This window comes from Homo sapiens, chromosome 1, assembly GCF_000001405.40.
Source record: "Homo sapiens chromosome 1, GRCh38.p14 Primary Assembly".
NCBI classification, from domain to species: domain Eukaryota; kingdom Metazoa; phylum Chordata; class Mammalia; order Primates; family Hominidae; genus Homo; species Homo sapiens.
The window spans coordinates 92,522,985-92,540,717 of record NC_000001.11 but is presented as its reverse complement, the minus strand read 5'-3'; the positions used below and the strand labels follow the sequence as shown (position 1 = coordinate 92,540,717).

The 17,733-nt window shown below is 37.7% G+C and overlaps 1 protein-coding gene across 27 annotated transcripts in view; it reads left to right on the top strand.

The window, feature by feature from the left end:
- EVI5 (ecotropic viral integration site 5) overlaps positions 1-17,733 on the top strand; it is a 283,715-nt gene that overhangs the window by 251,693 nt on the left and 14,289 nt on the right. For 3 of the 27 annotated variants that reach the window (NM_001350198.2, NM_001377213.1, XM_017002282.2), the window contains one exon: positions 4,672-4,681. The exons of the other annotated variants lie outside the window; for them this stretch is intronic. In NM_001350198.2, coding sequence (NP_001337127.1) covers positions 4,672-4,681 — 10 coding nt within the window. The remainder of the gene's footprint in view (positions 1-4,671; positions 4,682-17,733) is intronic. 27 annotated transcript variants of the gene reach the window in all.

Sequence of the window (17,733 nt, the reverse complement as noted above, 5' to 3'; positions counted from 1 at the left end):
ACAAGCAGCAGAGAAGAAAATAGATAAGCTGAACATCATCAAAATTTAAAACTTTTGTGCTTCAAAGATCACCATCAAGAAAGTGAAAAGACAACCTAGAGAATGGAAGAAAAAAATCAAATCATTTACCTGATAAGGGGCCTGTATCTAGAATATATAAAGAACTCTTACAATTCAATTATAAAAAGATAACCCAGTTATAAAATGGATAAAGGATCTGAATAGACTGTTTTCCAAAAATGATATACCAGATGGCCAGTGGACATGAGAAAATATGCCCAACATCAGTGATCAAGGGAATGCAAACCAAAATGACAGTGAGATTCCACTTCACACTTACTAGGATGGCTATAATAAAACAGATAATAAAAATGTTGCAAGGATGTAGAAAAATTGGAACCCTCATACACAGCTGATAGAAAGGTAAAATGGTACAGCCACTTTGAAAACAGTATATAGCAGGTCCTCAAATGGTAAACATAGAGTTGCTATATGACCTAGCAGTTCCACTCCTGGGTATATACCCAAGTAACATGAAAACATGTCTACACTAAGACATCTGCATAAATGTTCATAGCAGCATTATTAATAATATTTAGAGAGTAGAAACAACTCAGATGTCAATCATCTGATGACTGGATAAATAAAATGTGGTATATCCATATGATCAATTATGAGGCAATAAAAGGAATCAAGTGCTGACACATGCCACAACATGGATGATAAATTTTTCAAAAATCAGTCACAGAAGGCCACATATTGTATGATTTCATTTATATGTCCAGAATAGATAAATTTATAGAGAAAGAAAGTAGATTAGTGGTTCCTTGGGGTTGGAGGGGAAGAGAGGGGTTTTAAGGGATGACAGCTAAGAGGTGTGTGGTTTATTTATGGCATGATAAAAATATTCTAGGATTGGTTGTGGTGATGGTTGCACAACTCTATGCATATACTAAAAGCCATCAAATTGTACACTCTAAATGGGTAAATTGTATGGAAGGCAAGTTATATCTCAAGGTCATTTTAAAAATTCATAGTCTTTCTCTTCTGGACAGTTTCCTAACCTGGGGCCCATGGATGGGGTCTATTAAAGTATTTACAAATATTTTATGTATAAACATAGGCGGATCTTTGGGAGAATGGGTTCAAGATTTTTTTTTTTTTTTTTTTTTTTTGAGATGGAGTCTAGCTCTGTCGCCCAGGCTGCAGCACAGTGGCATGATCTCGTCTCACTACTAGTTCCGCCTCCCGGGTTCCCGCCATCCTCCAGCCTCACCCTCCCAAGTAGCTGGGACTACAGGCGCCCGCCACTACACCCGGCTAATTTTTTATATTTTTAGTAGAGACGGGGTTTCACCAGTGTTAGCCAGGATGGTCTCCATCTCCTGACCTCGTGATCCGCCCGCCTCGGCCTCCCAAAGTGTTGGGATTATAGGCGTGAGCCACTGCGCCCGGCCGGGTTCAAGATTTTTTCAGATTTCTTGAGTGATTTGACACCTAAAAAAAAGTTTTCCTCCATCCCTCAATTATCTTGTGGGAGATATTGGGGGAATTAAGTAAATTAATGCTGGAAAAGCACTTAAAACAGAGCCTGGGACATAGTAAGGGCTAAATAAGTGCTCTTATTGTTCCAGCTATACCACAAAATACTTATGTAGTCACAGTGTGATATTATAAAGGATTAGATAAAATCTAATGACACTACTCCACTGCCTCAGTGACTCACCCATAACCTTCGTGATAAGTTCTAATTCTTTAACATGGCATAAGATTCTTCATAGTTTAGCCCCAGCTTTCTTTCAAGTTTCATCTCTCACCTCTCATTTTGAGACCTATATCCAGCCACACCAAACCACTTGCAGTTTCCTAACACATAATACATTCTCTGGCCTTAGGCTTTTCCCCATGCCACCTGTGCCTGATTTCTCCTCCCTCCACCTCTGCTCATCCTTACAGACCCAACTCGAACATCATCATCTTCCTCCTTCCCTAAGAATTCTCCCTTCTAGCCAGTGTATTGCTTCTCCTGTGGGTTTACTTAACAGTGTGCCACCTTGGAATCAGCTGTTTAGTTTTTTTGTCTTGCCCTTCAGATTTTTAACTGAGGGCAGGAGCCTTGTCATTTGTCTTTGCCTTTCCAGCATCACAACACTTGTCACCTAAACACTAGGTGCATATTTGGTTAATTGATTGATGGACTGAAAAAACACATGATATAGCTTTAGAGAACAAGAATTTCCTCTGAACAGAATCCAATCCAAATAGAAAAGAAGTACTTCATTTTCATGAGGGTGTTTTGCTAAAGGTTTGAATTTTTAAATGCTTCATTTTGCTGAAGGTTAAATCAAAGGAAATCTACATGGTACTTTGATGTAGCTTTAAAAGTTCAGAGTGAAACAAGTGTGAAGTGATTTATTTCCTGTAATTGGTCATAAATTTACATAGAACCTCACATATTCGTAGCCTCATCAGCGTTGACCTTAGAGTACCTTCTAAATAATGTTAATGGTTTCAATTTTATCAAGATGTGTCAGCTGCCAGGAAGAAGACATTCAGTGGCAGTTTCATTTTGTTTGCCCACAATACTGAATACATCTAAGTATGCACTGTAGAAAGACTAAGAATTCTCTGTAAATGACTCCCCCTCTCTTCTTCTCAGGTAAAAAGTGTGCAGTTGTAAGTTTCTTCTATTCCAAACTTTCCTTTCCTTTCTACCTTTTTTACTTATTAATGTGGGTGCATGTTTTTTCCTTCTAAAAACGTCAGCTTTAACTATTGCATTATATACAGTTTTACATGAAATCTACAATTTTTTCATTCTAAATTTTATATTTTTTATGATTTACTTAGCTTAAAACCAAAAACATTTTCAGCATTATGTACCTAGTATTATTTCAATAAAATTCTTGAATTTTTTTTAGTTTTTTTTTTTTAAGTACTGTAGATTAGAATTTTGGCTCTTGTCTGTGTAATAAAGTAATGAAGAAATCATGACCTCCAGTCGATCACTTTTACTGATTTCCTGTTCTGATTCTCTGGAAATCATTTTGTTTGTGTGGTTATTACTAGTCTAACCTTTGTCATGTTTACAATTCAGTGTTTAAAGAAGCTGATAATTGAGAATAAATTTTGCATATCATCTCCCATTACATTTATTTTAGATTTTGAAAACAGAAAACTATTAAAGGTATTCTATAAGGAATCCAACAAAATTACTGACCAAACTCTGAGGATGGAAAAAAAAGTAAAGCCTCTAGAACTTAGAAATACAAACTATGTGATTATTAGATCTTTCCATGAAAAGTAAAATACATTGTTATTTAAAATTGTATATATTACATATCACTTACAGAAATGCTACATTTAGCTCAAAAAGCTATAGCTCTTTGTTTTATAAAGATTAATTATACAAACTCAAATGTACGAATAGGAGCTTTTATAATCTGATATGACTCAGTCTTGGAAACTTACTGCAACTGTTTTGCAGTTCACTTGGTGTCACATGATTCACTTCAATGGTTTAAACCCTGTCTAGTAGTGATCAAAGTTCATTTGGTTAGGGGTTTTTTTTGGTGTGTGGATGACTTTTTTCCACTTTGTTGTGGATTGATTGTCTTTCAAAATACCCAATGCAGCCCTTCCTCTTATTCTTTTGAATCTCAGAAAGTGGTAGTTGTCTGCACAGTGCAACCTCCAGTCACACACAGGGGAAATTTTTTTTAAGTTGAAATAATATGCATGAAAGCACTTTTAACTGTAAAGCATTATATAATTATAAGATTGTATTATTAATTCCATTACCCCAATGTTAAAATTGAAGGATAACTTGTTACGTCTCTTTAAAACCAAGTGTAAAAAAAAATCAACTGTAATTTTTTAAGTTACCAGTGTCCTATGATGTGCTAAAAGAAAGCAGACACACAGCACATTGTCTCCTCTAGCCACACAGACACTTGCCCAGGTGATCATATTTTCTCGGCACAGATTTCTTTATCACTTATAAAGAACCTACATTTAAAGACTACAAAACTCTAAAACCATGACACTTCTCTATTTCACAAAAGAAATTTCTGTCTTAATATCTACTGGTTTAGCCAATAAAGTAGACTAATGAAAAATTTAAAAATACTTATGTATCCTTAATGATGATGAAGTCCTTTGGGGCTTCAGAATATTCATCTTTACAGGTTATCCCTGCTGTAGAATTTCAATGATAACTTGCGTGGAATAGCTGTAATCTTTTATAAATAGTGTTTTTTTAGTGTTTGAATTTTTACTATCATACAGTAAGAAACTCTGCTGTTTCCTGTCAAAACCTTTCATCAGACTATGAACATGACAGTTTCCTGTTTTCTTATTAACTATACTGCATTTTTATGCTTTATTCTTTGTAAATTGTATAATAACTTATCGCTTTCCTTTTCTCATTACTAAATGTTTTTGGGGGACCAGCATTGTTTAATACACACAGAGAAATTCTAAAATCCGATCTCTTTATTGATAATGCAAAGTTAAGATTCCATTAAAGTAGATTTAGATGTTATAAAAAAAGATTTTGTTAACTATTAAACTTGTGCTGAGTGTGTCAGATGTCTTAAATATTATTTAAATAAATTCTACATGTTTTTACTTTTTATACTTTGTCTCTTAATGCATAACATGATGAAGCAGTCCACATCAGGTAAGAACGAATATGTTATTTGGGTCTTGTATTGTTAGTACTCCCATCTGTCTGCTTATTAATGTTCTCCTTCAGCATTTAAAAGGGTGGGATAAATAATTAGTACCTAGGGCTTTTTCTTTTTTTTTATTATACTGTAAGTTCTGGGGTACGTGTGCAGAACGTGCAGGTTTGTTACATAGGTATACACGTGCCATGGTGGTTTGCTGCACCCATCAACCCGTCATCTACATTAGGTATTTCTCCTAATGCTATCCCTCCCCTAGCCCCCCACCCCACGACAGGCCCCGGTGTGTGATGTTCCTCTCCCTGTGTCCATGTGTTCTCATTGTTCAACTCCCACTTAAGAATGAGAACATGCAGTGTTTGGTTTTTCTGTTTTTCTGTTAGTTTGCTGATAATGATGGTTTCCAACTCCATCCATATCCCTGCAAAGGACATGAACTCATTTTTTTTTATGGCTGCAAGGTATTCCATGGTGTATATGTGCCACATTTTCTTGATCCAGTCTATCATTGATGGGCATTTGGGTTGGTTCCAAGTCTTTGCTATCATGAACAGTGCCGCAGTAAACATGTGTGTGCATGTGTCTTTATAGTAGAATGATTTATAATCCTTTGGGTATATACCCAGTAAGGGGATTGCTGGGTCAAATGGTATTTCTAGTTCTAGATCCTTGAGGAATCACCACACTGACTTCCACAATGGTTGAACTAATTTACACTCCCACCAACAGTGTAAAAGTGTTCCTATTTCTCCACATCCTCTCCAGCATCTGTTGTTTCCTGACTTTTTAATGATCACCATTCTATGAGATGGTATCTCATTGTGGTTTTGATTTGCATTTCTCAAATGACCAGTGATGATTAGCTTTTTTTCATATGTCTTGGGTGCATAAACTTCTTCTTTTGAGAAGTTCATATCCTTCGTCCACTTTTTGATGGGTTTTTTTTTCTTGTAAATTTGTTTAAGTTCTTTGTAGATTCTGGATATTAGCCCTTTGTCAGATGCAAAATATAAATTGCAAAAATTTTCTCCCATTCTGTATGTTGCCTTTTCACCCTGATGATAGTTTCTTTTGCTGTGCAGAAGCTCTTTAGTTTAGTTAGATCCCATTTGTCTATTTTGGCTTTTGTTGCCATTGCTTTTGGTGTTTTAATCATGAAGTCTTTGCCCATGCCTATGTCCTGAATGGTATTGCCTAGGTTTTCTTCTAGGGTTTTTATGGTTTCAGGTCTTACGTTTAAGTCTTTAATCCATCGTGAGTTAATTTTTGTATAAAGTGTAAGGAAGGGATCCAGTTTCAGCTTTCTGGATATGGCTAGCCAGTTTTCCATTTATTAAATAGGGAATCTTTTCCCATTTCTGGTTTTTGTCAGGTTTGTCAAAGATCACATGGTTGTACATGTGTGGCGTTATTTCTGAGGCCTCTATTCTGTTCCATTGGTCTATATATCTGTTTTGGCACCAGTACCATGCTGTTTTGGTTACTGTAGCCTTGTAGTATAGTTTGAAGTCAGGTAGCGTGATACCTTCAGCTTTGTTCTTTTTGCTTAGGATTGTCTTGGCTATACGGGCTCTTTTTTGGTTCCATATGAAATTTAAAGTAGTTTTTTCCAATTATTTGAAGAAAGTCAATGGTAGCTTGATGGGGATAGCATTGAATCTAGAAATTACTTTGGGCAGTATGGCCATTGTCACAATATTGATTCTTCCTATCCATAAGCATGGAATGTTTTTCCATTTGTTTGTGTCCTCTCTTATTTCCTTGAGCAGTGGTTTGTAGTTCTCCTTGAAGAGGTCCTTCACATCCCTTGTAAGTTGTATTCCCTGGTTTTTTCTCTCTTACTAGTAGTTATGAATGGGAGTTCACTCATGATTTGGCTCTCTGTTTGTCTGTTATTGGTATATAGGAATCCTTGTGATTTTTTGCACATTGATTTTGTATCCTCAGACTTCATTGAAGTTGTTTATCAGCTTAGGGAGATTTTGGGCTGAGACAATGGGGTTTTCTAAGTATACAATCATGTCATCTGCAAACAGAGACAATTTTACTTCTTCTCTGACTAATTGAATACCCTTTATTTCTTTCTTTTACCTGATTGCCCTGGCCAGAACTTCCAACACTATGTTGACTAGGAGTGGTGAGAGAGGGCATCCTTGTCTTGTGCCAGTTTTCAAAGGGAATGCTTCCAGTTTTTGCCCACTCAGTATGATATTGGCTGTGGGTTTGTCATAAATAGCTCTTATTATTTTGAGATACGTTCCATCAATACCTAGTTTATTGAGAGGTTTTAGCATGAAGGCTGTTGAATATAGTTGAAGGCCTTTTCTGCATCTATTGAGATAAACGTGGTTTTTGTCATTGGTTCTGCTTGTGTGATGGATTACGTTTATTGATTTGCATATGTTTAACCAGCCTTGCATCCCTGGGATGAAACTGACTTGATCGTGGTGGATAAGCTTTTTGATGTGCTGCTGGATTCGGTTTGCCAGTATTTTATTGAGGATTTTCACACCAATGTTCATCAGGGATATTGGCCTGAAATTTTGTTTTTTTGTTGTGTCTCTGCCAAGTTTTGTTATCAGGATGATGCTGGCCTCATGAGTTAAGGAGGATTCCCTCTTTTTCTATCGTTTGGAATAGTTTCAGAAGGAATGGTACAATCTCCTCTTTGTACCTCTGGTGGAATTCAGCTGTGAATCTGTCTGGTCCTGGACTTTTTTTGGTTGGTAAGCTATTAATTGCTGCCTCAATTTCAGAACTTGTTACTGGTCTATTCAGGGATTCAACTTCTTCCTGCTTTAGTCTTGGGTGTATGTGTCCAGGAACTTATCCATTTATTCTGGATTTTCTAGTTTATTTGCATAGAGGTGTTTATGGCATTCTCTGATGATAGTTTGTATTTCTGTGGGATCAGTGGTGGTATCCCCTTTATCATTTTTTTTATTGCACCTATTTGATTCTTCTTTCTTTTCTTCTGTATTAGTCTGGCTAGTGGTCTATTTTGTTGATCTTTTCCAAAAAAAAAAAAAAGTTCCTAGATTCATTGATTTTTTTGAAGGGTTTTTTGTGTCTCTATCTCCTTCAGTTCTGCTCTGATCTTAGTTATTTCTTGCCTTCTGCTAGCTTTTGAATTTGTTTGCTCCTGCTTCTCTAGTTCTTTTCAATGTGATTTTAGGGTGTCAATTTTAGATCTTTCCTGCTTCCTCTTGTAGGCATTTAGGTGCTATAAATTTCCCTCTACACACTGCTTTAAATGTGTCCCAGAGATTCTGGTACGTGTGTCTTTGTTCTCATTGGATTCAAAGAACATCTTTATTTCTGCCTTCATTTTGTTATTTACCCAGTAGTCATTCAGGAGCAGGTTGTTCAGTTTCCATGTAGTTGTGCAGTTTTGAGTAAGTTTCTGAATCCTGAGTTCTAATTTGATTGCACTGTGGTCTGAGAGACTGTTTGTTATGATTTCCGTTCTTTTGCATTTGCTGAGGAGTGTTTTACTTCCAACTATGTGGTCAATTTTAGAATAAGTGTGATGCGGTGCCGAGAAGAACATATATTCTGTTGATTTGGAGTGGAGAGTTCTGTAGATGTCTACTAGGTCTGCTTGGGCCAGAGCTGATTTTAAGCCCTGGATATCCTTGTTCATTTTCTGTCTTATTGATCTGTCTAATATTGACAGTGGGGTGTTAAATTCCCCCACTATTATTGTGTAGGAGTCTAAGTCTCTTTGTAGGTCTCTAAGGACTTGCTTTATGAATCTGGGCGCTCTTGTATTGGATGCATATATATTTAGGATAGTTAGCTTATCCTGTTGAATTGATCCCTTTACCATTATGTAATGCCTTTCTTTGTCTCTTGATCTTTGTTAGTTTAAAGTCTGTTTTATCAGAGACTAGGATTGCAACCCCTGCTTTTTTTTGCTTTCCATTTGCTTGGTAAATACTCCTCCATCCGTTTATTTTGAGCCTATGTGTGTCTTTGCACATGAGATGAGTCTCCTGAATACAGCACACTGATGGGTCTTGCCTCTCTCCAGTTCGCCAGTCTGTGTCTTTTAATTGGGGCATTTAGCCCATTTATGTTTAAGGTTAATATTGTTATGTGTGAATTTGATCCTGCCATTATGATGCTAGCTGGTTATTTTGCCCGTTAGTTGTTGCAGTTTCTTCATAGTGTCAATGGTCTTTACAATTTGGTATGTTTTTGCAGTGGCTGGTACTGGCTGATCCTTTCCATGTTTAGTGCTTCCTTCAGGAGCTCTTGTAAGGCAGGCCTGGTGGTGACAAAATGTCTCACCATTTGCTTGTCTGTAAAAGATTTTATTTTTCCTTCGCTTGTGAAGCTTAGTTTGTCTGGATGTGAAATTCTGGGTTGAAAATTCTTTTCTTTAAGAATGTTGAATATTGGCCCCCAATCTCTTCTGGTTTGTAGGATTTCTGCTGAGAGATCCGTTGTTAGTCTGATGGACTTCCCTTTGTGGGTAACCCACCCTTTCTTTCTGGCTGCCCTTAATATTTTTTCCTTCATTTCAACCTTGGTGAATCTGATGATTATGTGTCTTGAGGTTGATCTTCTTGAGGAGTATCTTTATGGTGTTCTCTGTATTTCCTGAATTTGAATGTTGGCCTACCTTGCTAGGTTGGGGAAGCTCTCCTGGATAATACCCTGAAGAGTGTTTTCCAGCTTGGTTCCATTCTCCCCATCACTTTCAGGTACACCAGTCAAACGTAGATTTGGTCTCTTTACATAGTCCCATATTTCTTGGAGGCTTTGTTTGTTTCTTTTCACTCTCTTTTCTCTAATCTTGTCTTCTTGCTTTATTTCATTGAGTTGATCTTCAATCTCTGATATCCTTTCTTCTGCTTGATCTGTTTGGCTATTGATACTTGTGTATGCTTCATGAAATTCTCATGCTGTGTTTTTCAGCTCCATGAGGTAATTTATGTTCTTCTCTAAACTGGTTATTCTAGTTCGCAATTCATCTGACCTTTTTTCAAGGTTCTTAGCTTCATTGCATTGGGTTAGAACATGCTCCTTTAGTGCAGAGGAGTTTGTTATTACCCACTTTCTGAAGCCTACTTCTGTCAATTCGTCAGACTCAGTCTCCATCCAGTTTTGTTCCCTTGCTGGCAAGGAGTTGTGATCCTTTGGAGGAAAAGAGATGTTCTGGTTTTTGGAATTTTCAGTCTTTTTACACTGGTTTCTCCCCATCTTCGTGGATTTATCTACCTTTGGTCTTTGAAGTTGGTGACCTTTGGCTGGGGTCTCTGAGTGGATGTCCTTTTTGTTGATGTTGATACTATGCCTTTCTGCTTGTTAGTTTTCCTTCTGACAGGCCTCTCTGCTGCAGGTCTGCTGGAGTTTGTTGGAGGTCCACTCTGGACCCTGTTTGCCTGGGTATCACCAGTGGATGCTGCAGAACAGCAAAGATTGCTGCCTGTTTCTTCCTCTGAAAGCTTTGTCCCAGAGGGGCACCTGCCAGATGCTAGCCAGAGCTCTCTTGTATGAGGTGTCTGTTGGCCCCTACTGGGAGGTGTCTCCCATTCAGGACACACAGGGGTCAGGAACCCACTTGAGGAGGCAGTCTGTCCCTTATCAGAGCTCGAACGCTGTGTTGGGAGATCCGCTGCTCTCTTCAGAGCTGCCAGGCAGGGATGTATAAGTCTGCTGAGGCTGTGCCCCCAACCGCCCCTTCCCCCAGGTGCTTCGTCCCAGGGAGGTGAGGGTTGTATCTATAAGTCCTGACTGGGGCTGCTGCGTTTTTTTCAGAGATGCCCTGCCCAGAGAGGAGGGAATCTGGAGAGGCAGTCTGGCCTCAGTGGCCTTGCTACCACTAGGGCTTTTTCAAGAATCCTACCGTCTGTTCAGTATAGTTCATGTGCCTGCTCTTGTCAAGTCAGAGTACTAAGTTCTAGGATATAAATATGATTAAGAAATAATCCCTACCATCAAGGGTCTAACAGAAGAGAGAGAATACATCCACACCTACCAATTATTCCATATTTTTCTAAACAGTGCTTATTTTAAATATTTAGCTCTAATGTCAAATCATATGATTTAGAAAAAATTTATCTACATATATTCAATCATGTGTTAATAAGTACAATATTTATGAAAGTATTTATGAAAATACAGTAAGCATAATTTTTATGAAAGTATTTATGAAAATATGCCCATTGATTTATTTTAAATACTATAAACATTATTTTAAAATGGCTTATAAAAATGCTAATAGTTTAACAATATCAGCATAATACTAGAAAACAAAAAAAGACTTTTAAAATGAAAGAAGCAGGTTTCTTGTTTGTTTTTATTTTGTTATTGGATTAGGGATTTGGTTCTGGCTAGTCTTTCTATTATTGTCTAAATGGTCAAGCTACCAATAAATGTGGAGCCATATTTGATTGTTTTATTAATCACCTTATTCTTAGAATACAACCAAACAAATAATTGAAACTGAGACTGATTATGCACAGTGACAAATATTTATTTTTATATTTATACCCTACCTTGTTCCCCATAGATTTTTAGGCAGTTTGCATGAATACATATGACACAAAAATAATCAAACATTAGGTTAAACCAAAATAAATTACTGATACTTGACATTCACTTAAAAAGTGGCAATGTATGCTTCAGTCTGACAGTTAAAAGAATCACTGCTAAGGTGAAATCTGGTAAGATGAGAGTTCATGTTAGCAAACAGAAATGCATACAGTATCAAAGTAGGTCACATATTTGGTAGCCAAAGCAAAGTAAGGAGCATAATATGTTGAAGAGTGTGTCTAGTAAGACAAAGCCAAACCAGTTATTCTTTTCCTATTTCTAAACTTTGAAAGAAGTTTCTCTTATGGGTCTATATGAAGAGGATAAGAAAATGTACTAAACAGGAAAGTGTTAGGCTAATGGTCTAACATATAAAGAGCAATTTTGTAATGGGCAAAAACAGTGGGATCTAAATACATAACTTACTGGTCATCTGGTTAGATCAAGAGGTATGCTAGTGGAAGAATGAATGGCAGTTGCATGTCTTTCCAACAATCTTTTATAGATATTATTTCTTAGACTTTTATTTAGGATACATTTTTATTGAAGTATGAGATATGTACAGAAAAATACACACCATAAGTATCTAGCTTGATGAATTATCACAAAAATGAGCATGCCCATTTAATTTCAACTCAGGTGAAGAACTGGAACATTACCAGAATTTCAGAAGGCCCTCGTTACTCCTCCCACACTCTCTCTCTCATCTCCTCATTTTCCTGACTTCTAACATGACAAACGAGATCCCTGGTTTTTAACATTTTACTAATGAAATCATATAGAATGAGTTATTTGGGGTTTTGGATCTTTCACTCAATGCTGAGATTTACCCACGTAGTTCCATGCAGCAGTAGTCTGTTCATTTTTGCTACTGTATAGTAGTATCTCATATGAATATATTGTAGTTTGTGCATTTGACTATTGTAAACATTTGAGTTATTTCCATTTGGGGTTATTATGAATAAAACTGTTATGAGCCCTGTTATAAAATTTTTGGTGTAATGTATTTACTTCTATTTTTCATATGCCTAGGAATGGAATTGCTGGGTGACTACTATAATTGTTCAAGCCAGGACACTTTTGAGAATGAAAATAATTAAAAATTACTGTGTAACAACAGGCATAAGCCAGGACTGTCCCAAGCACACTGAAGTGTATAGTTATTCTAGGTATAAAGTGTGTAGACATTCAACTTTAGTCGATACTGCGAAGCCATTTTCCAAAGTGCTTATACCAGTTTACACTCCCACCAGCAATGTGCAAGACTTCCTATTCCGTATCTTCACTAACGTGATTGGATAGCTGAAAATTCAGTGTTGTATTTTCTATTAAGAACACAGAATTAAGTTATTCAGTGTGGTCAGTTAAGGGACCATTAATTGGCTTTGACAGTTAACTAGGCAGAAGGTAAGGTAAAAGTTCTCTTGCAAAAAGTAAGGAGCCTATTACAAACTCTGTGGAAAATGGTTTGGCAGTATTTACTAAATCTTCTTTATTACGCAGAAGTTACACTCTAGAGAAATGAGTACATATACTGACCAAAAGACATGTTTAAGAATGCTCATAGCAGCATTATATATAATAGATTGGAGACAACCCAAATGGCCATTAACATTAGAAAGGATAAATTATGATGTAATCACAAATGCAATACTATGCCACACCGGAAAAGCATAAGCTACCATGCTATATGCCAACATTGGTGAATCTCACAGACAATGCTGAGTAACAGGATACAGAAACAAATGCATACCATATAATCCTTTATATTAAATACAAGAATAGACAAAACTATTGTGTGATGGTAGATATCAGAATGGTGGTTACCTTTGGACGAGTGTAGGGCAGTTTCTGGAGGAAGACACATGGAAGTCTTCTGGGGAGTGGGAAATGCACTATGGCTCAATCTGGGTGATAATTTCATGACTATGTATGTAAGTAAAATTTTACCAACTTGTACACATAAAATCTGTACATTTTGCTGTGTTATATTTCACTTAAAAATGAGCCTAAATACATACTTTTTTTTTCTTTTCTTTTATTTCTTTTTTTCTTTTTTTTTTTTTTTTTTTGAGACAGTGTCTCACTCTTTCACCCAGGCTGGAGTGCAGTGGCACCATCTCAGCACATTGCAACCTCCACCTCCCAGGTTCAACCGAGTCTCCTACCTCAGCCTACCAAGTAGCTAGGAGTACAGGCGTGTGCCACCTTGCCTGGCTGATTTTTGTGTTTTTAGTAAAGACAGCATTTCACCACTTTGGCCAGGCTGGTCTTGAACTCCTGACTTCAAGTGATCCACCTGCCTCCACCTCCCAAACTGCTGGGATTACAAGCATGAGCCACCGCACCTGGCCCTAAATACATTCTTGAAACACACATAGCCTCAAACTTTTCTCAAGCGGTTTTGCTATTAGAGCGTTATGGCCATAGGAAAAAAACACTGAACATCTTAATCAGTAGACTTCATCTTGGGGGACAGTCAGAGTTACAGAATAATTAAAAATTAAGTGGAAAATTAAGAGAGTTACCGTATGCCCCTTCAACACCTTCTGCCTTTCTCCTGTAATTGACATCCTGCAGTAGCTTAATACATAAGTTACAATTGATGAGCCAACATTGACACATTATTATTAACTGAAGTCCATAGTTTACATTAGGGTTCATTCTTTGTGTTGTACATTCTATATGTTTTGACAAGTGTATAATGACATGTATCCACCATTACAGTAGAATACAAAATGGTTGCACTGCCTAACAATCCCCTGTGTTCCACCTGTTCATCCCTCTTCTCCTTCCTGAACTCCTGCAACCACTGCTTACTGTCTCCATAATTTTTCCTTTTCCAGAATGTCATGTAGTCATAATCATACACTATCTGGCCTTTTTCAGATAAGCTTCTTTTGCTTTGCAATATGCATTTAAGGTTCCTCCATGTCACTCCCCCTAACCCAAACACCCTCATACACTAATATTAAACTGCTTAACAGCTCTTCATTAAACTGCTTAACAGCTCTTCAGACCTACCATGCTCTCTTGCCTCCATATTTTAAGCACATGCTTTCTGTATCTAATTAGGCTTTTCAGATGTGACACCATGTGATAATTTCTAGCTAGAAAGAATAATTGGTGGCTGGGCACGGCGGCTTATGCCTGTAATCCCTACACTTTGGGAGGCTGAGGTGGAAGGATCACCTGAGCCCAGGAGTTCAAGACCAGCCTGGGCAACATATCAAGACCTCATCTCTACAAATAATTTAAAAATTAGCTGGGCGTGGTGGCACATGTCTGTGATCTCAGCTGCTCAGAAGGCTGAGGCAGAAGGCTCACTTGAGCCAGGGAGGTGGAGGCTGCAGTGAGCTGTGATAGTGCCACTGCACTCCAACCTGGATGACACAGGGAGACCCCATCTCAAAAAAAAACAAAAACAATAATAGGTACAGATTCCATTGTTCTAGAAGCCAGAACCCTACTCAAAGTCTTGGAAAGGGCCTGCCCTTAAGAAACATATATTTCATTTGTATGTTTGTGTGTGTATACGTTTATATTAAAGCTCCTGGGTTTCCATAGAGATAATCTTCTGAGACCTATCTAAAACTGGGTTGGTATGGATATCTGGTCTAAGAAAAAAGTAAAAATAAATAAAATGGGAACATAATTACAGCAAAACTTTCCTACTGTTCTAATGAGAGCCTGGGTCCGAAAGAAGCAGTAAACTGATGGTATAATAATAGTACCAGCGTCCGATGAGCTAATCATGAAGAATGTTTTTTAAAATGTTGGCAGTGGTACCTAATCATTTTTATTCCACAAATTTCAAACAAATTATTATAAGAATATTCCAAAAGTCAACCTAAAATTACTAACCTAGTCAACAAACATCAAGATACATTAGTGGGATTTTATCAAAATAGCATTGTTGGCCGGGTGCAGTGGCTCACCCCTGTAATCCCAGCACTTTGGGAGGCCAAGACAGGTGAATCACTTGAGTCCAGAAGTTCAAGGCCAGCCTAGCCAATATGGCAAAACCCCATCTTTACTAAAAATACAAAAATTAGCCAAGTATGGTGACGTAGGCCTGTAATCCCAGCTACTCGGGAGGCTGAGCAGGAGAATTGCCTGAACCCAGGAGGCAGAGGTTGGAGTCAGCCAAGATTGTGCCACTGCACTCCAGCCTGGGCAACAGATTGAGACTCTGTCTCAAAAAAAAAAAAAAAAAAAAGGCATTGTCATTGGCACTGATTCTGAACTGACTCATATCTTATTATAACAAAATGTCCCTTGCAACCTACCACACACGCACACCCCGATGTATGTGTCTCTCCTATGGCTGTTGAGTTGTATTAAAAAATACTTAATCTGGCTGGGCGCCAGTGATTCCTGCGTGTAATCCCAGCACTTTGGGAGACCAAGGCGGGCAGATCACTTGAGATCAGGAGTTCGAGAGCAGCCTGGCCTACATGGTGAAACCCTGTCTCTACCAAAAATACAAAAATTAGCTGGGTGTGGTGGTGGGCACCTATAATCCCAGCTACTGAGGAGGCTGAGGCAGGAGAATTGCTTGAGTCTGGGAGGCAGAGAGCTTACAGTAAACTGAGATCACGCCACTGCACTCCAGCCTGGAACACAGTGAGACTTTGTCTAAAAAAAAAAAAAAAAAAGTAGTTAATCTATCAGTGTCTGTAAACTAAGACTATATTCCTAAGGGTAGACATGTTATTCCTTAAAGAATATGGCTTGTCACCTGGATATGAAGCTGATCCTTGGAATAAAACTTGAAGATTGACACTTAGTAGGAAGAAGAAAAGAAAAGGTTCTGATGCTGTTTCACCCAAACACACATGTTCTCTCAAGTGTAGACTGTGATTGTTGAGATGTCTAAAATTGGGTGGTGCGCTTCAGTGATGAATCCCACAAAACACCTTAATGGGCCTAGACTTGAAACTAGATGGTGAAGGTGTCTGTAAACCCCAAAGAATAGGTCATATCTTAAAGGTAATATTTACTAGCCTCATGTTTATTTTCATTTTGATTTTTCCCTGCTCTGGTTGGTTGTGTGGCCACATTTAGGCCAGAGTATTTTAAAAATATGACAGTGGACAGTGTGAAAATGGAAGTGATAAATTAACAAGGAATCTTTACATCTAAATTTATTTACCCTTATCAGATTTTCTTAACATGGTCTAATATAGTCAATTCCCAAATCCAGTTCCTTTAGAGCAGTGTATGGACCACCGTCTTCAGAATCACCTGGAGTACTTGTTTAAAATACAAACTCCTGGGCCTGTCCTGCTGAATTCATATGTTCAAGAGTAGGGCTCAAGAATCTTTTTTTTTTTTTTTTAAATAATAAACCCAGGCAGTTTCTTTTTTTTTTTTCTTTTATTTTTTTTTAGATGGAGTCTTGCTCTGTCACCCAGGCTGGAGTGCAGTGGCGCTATCTCGGCTCACTGCAACCTCCACCTCCCAAGTTCAAGCAATCCTGCTGCCTCAGCCTCCCAAGTAGCTGGGACTAAGCTGGGACTACAGGCATGCACCACTACACCCAGCTAATTTTTATATTTTTAGTAGAGTCAGGGTTTCACCATGTTGGCCAGGCTGGTCTCGAACTTCTGACCTCAAGTGATCCACCAGCCTCGGCCTCCCAAAGTGCTGGGATTACAAGCGTAAGTCACCATGTCCAGTCACCCAAGCAGTAATTATACATACCAAATTACTGGTGTAGAGAATTAGCAAGTCAGAAGGGTACTCTTAACATCTCTAATATTCTCACAGAAGTAAGGACTCCAGAGCAGCTCGCTGAGTTGAATAGCCAGTGAGAATGTCTCTCTGGTAGTTGTGACTCTTTGCTGATGTTATTTGGAAGATAGCAAATCTAATGAATACCTAAAATACATTATTTTTAAATGTTACAGAAACTAGAAGACATTCATTAGAAAGAAACAAAGATTGTAACATAAACTTGTTTTTACTTACTTTATATACCCGTATTTGAAGATAAAATAATCTGAAGGACTGAATTTGATTATGTAATATATTTTTTAAAAAATATATTAATAAATTTTTTAAAATGTTGAAATATAACTATTTCAACAGGCCAAGGTTGTTATTTAAAAATCCTTTTTCATTTGCTTCCAATTAAATAGTCCATGGTTGCCAGGGTGAGGGTGAAGGGGGGATGTTAACATGGAAACAAAGTGCATATTTTAATGATTGTTAGAGCTAGGTGATGACAACATGGGGGTTCACTAAATTATTCACTGTATTTTTAAAAAAATATTCCATAATAAAAAGTTAAAGGCCAGGCACCGTGGCTCACATCTATAATTTCAGCACTCTGGGAGTCTGAGGCAGGAGGATTGCTTGAGGCCAGGAGTTCAAGACCAGCCTAGGGAGCATAGACCTTGCTTCTACAAAAAAAGTTAGTCACAGGCTAAGTTCAGTGGCTCATGACGGTAATCCCACCACCTTGGAAGGCTGAGGTGAGGGAATTGCTTGAGGCTAG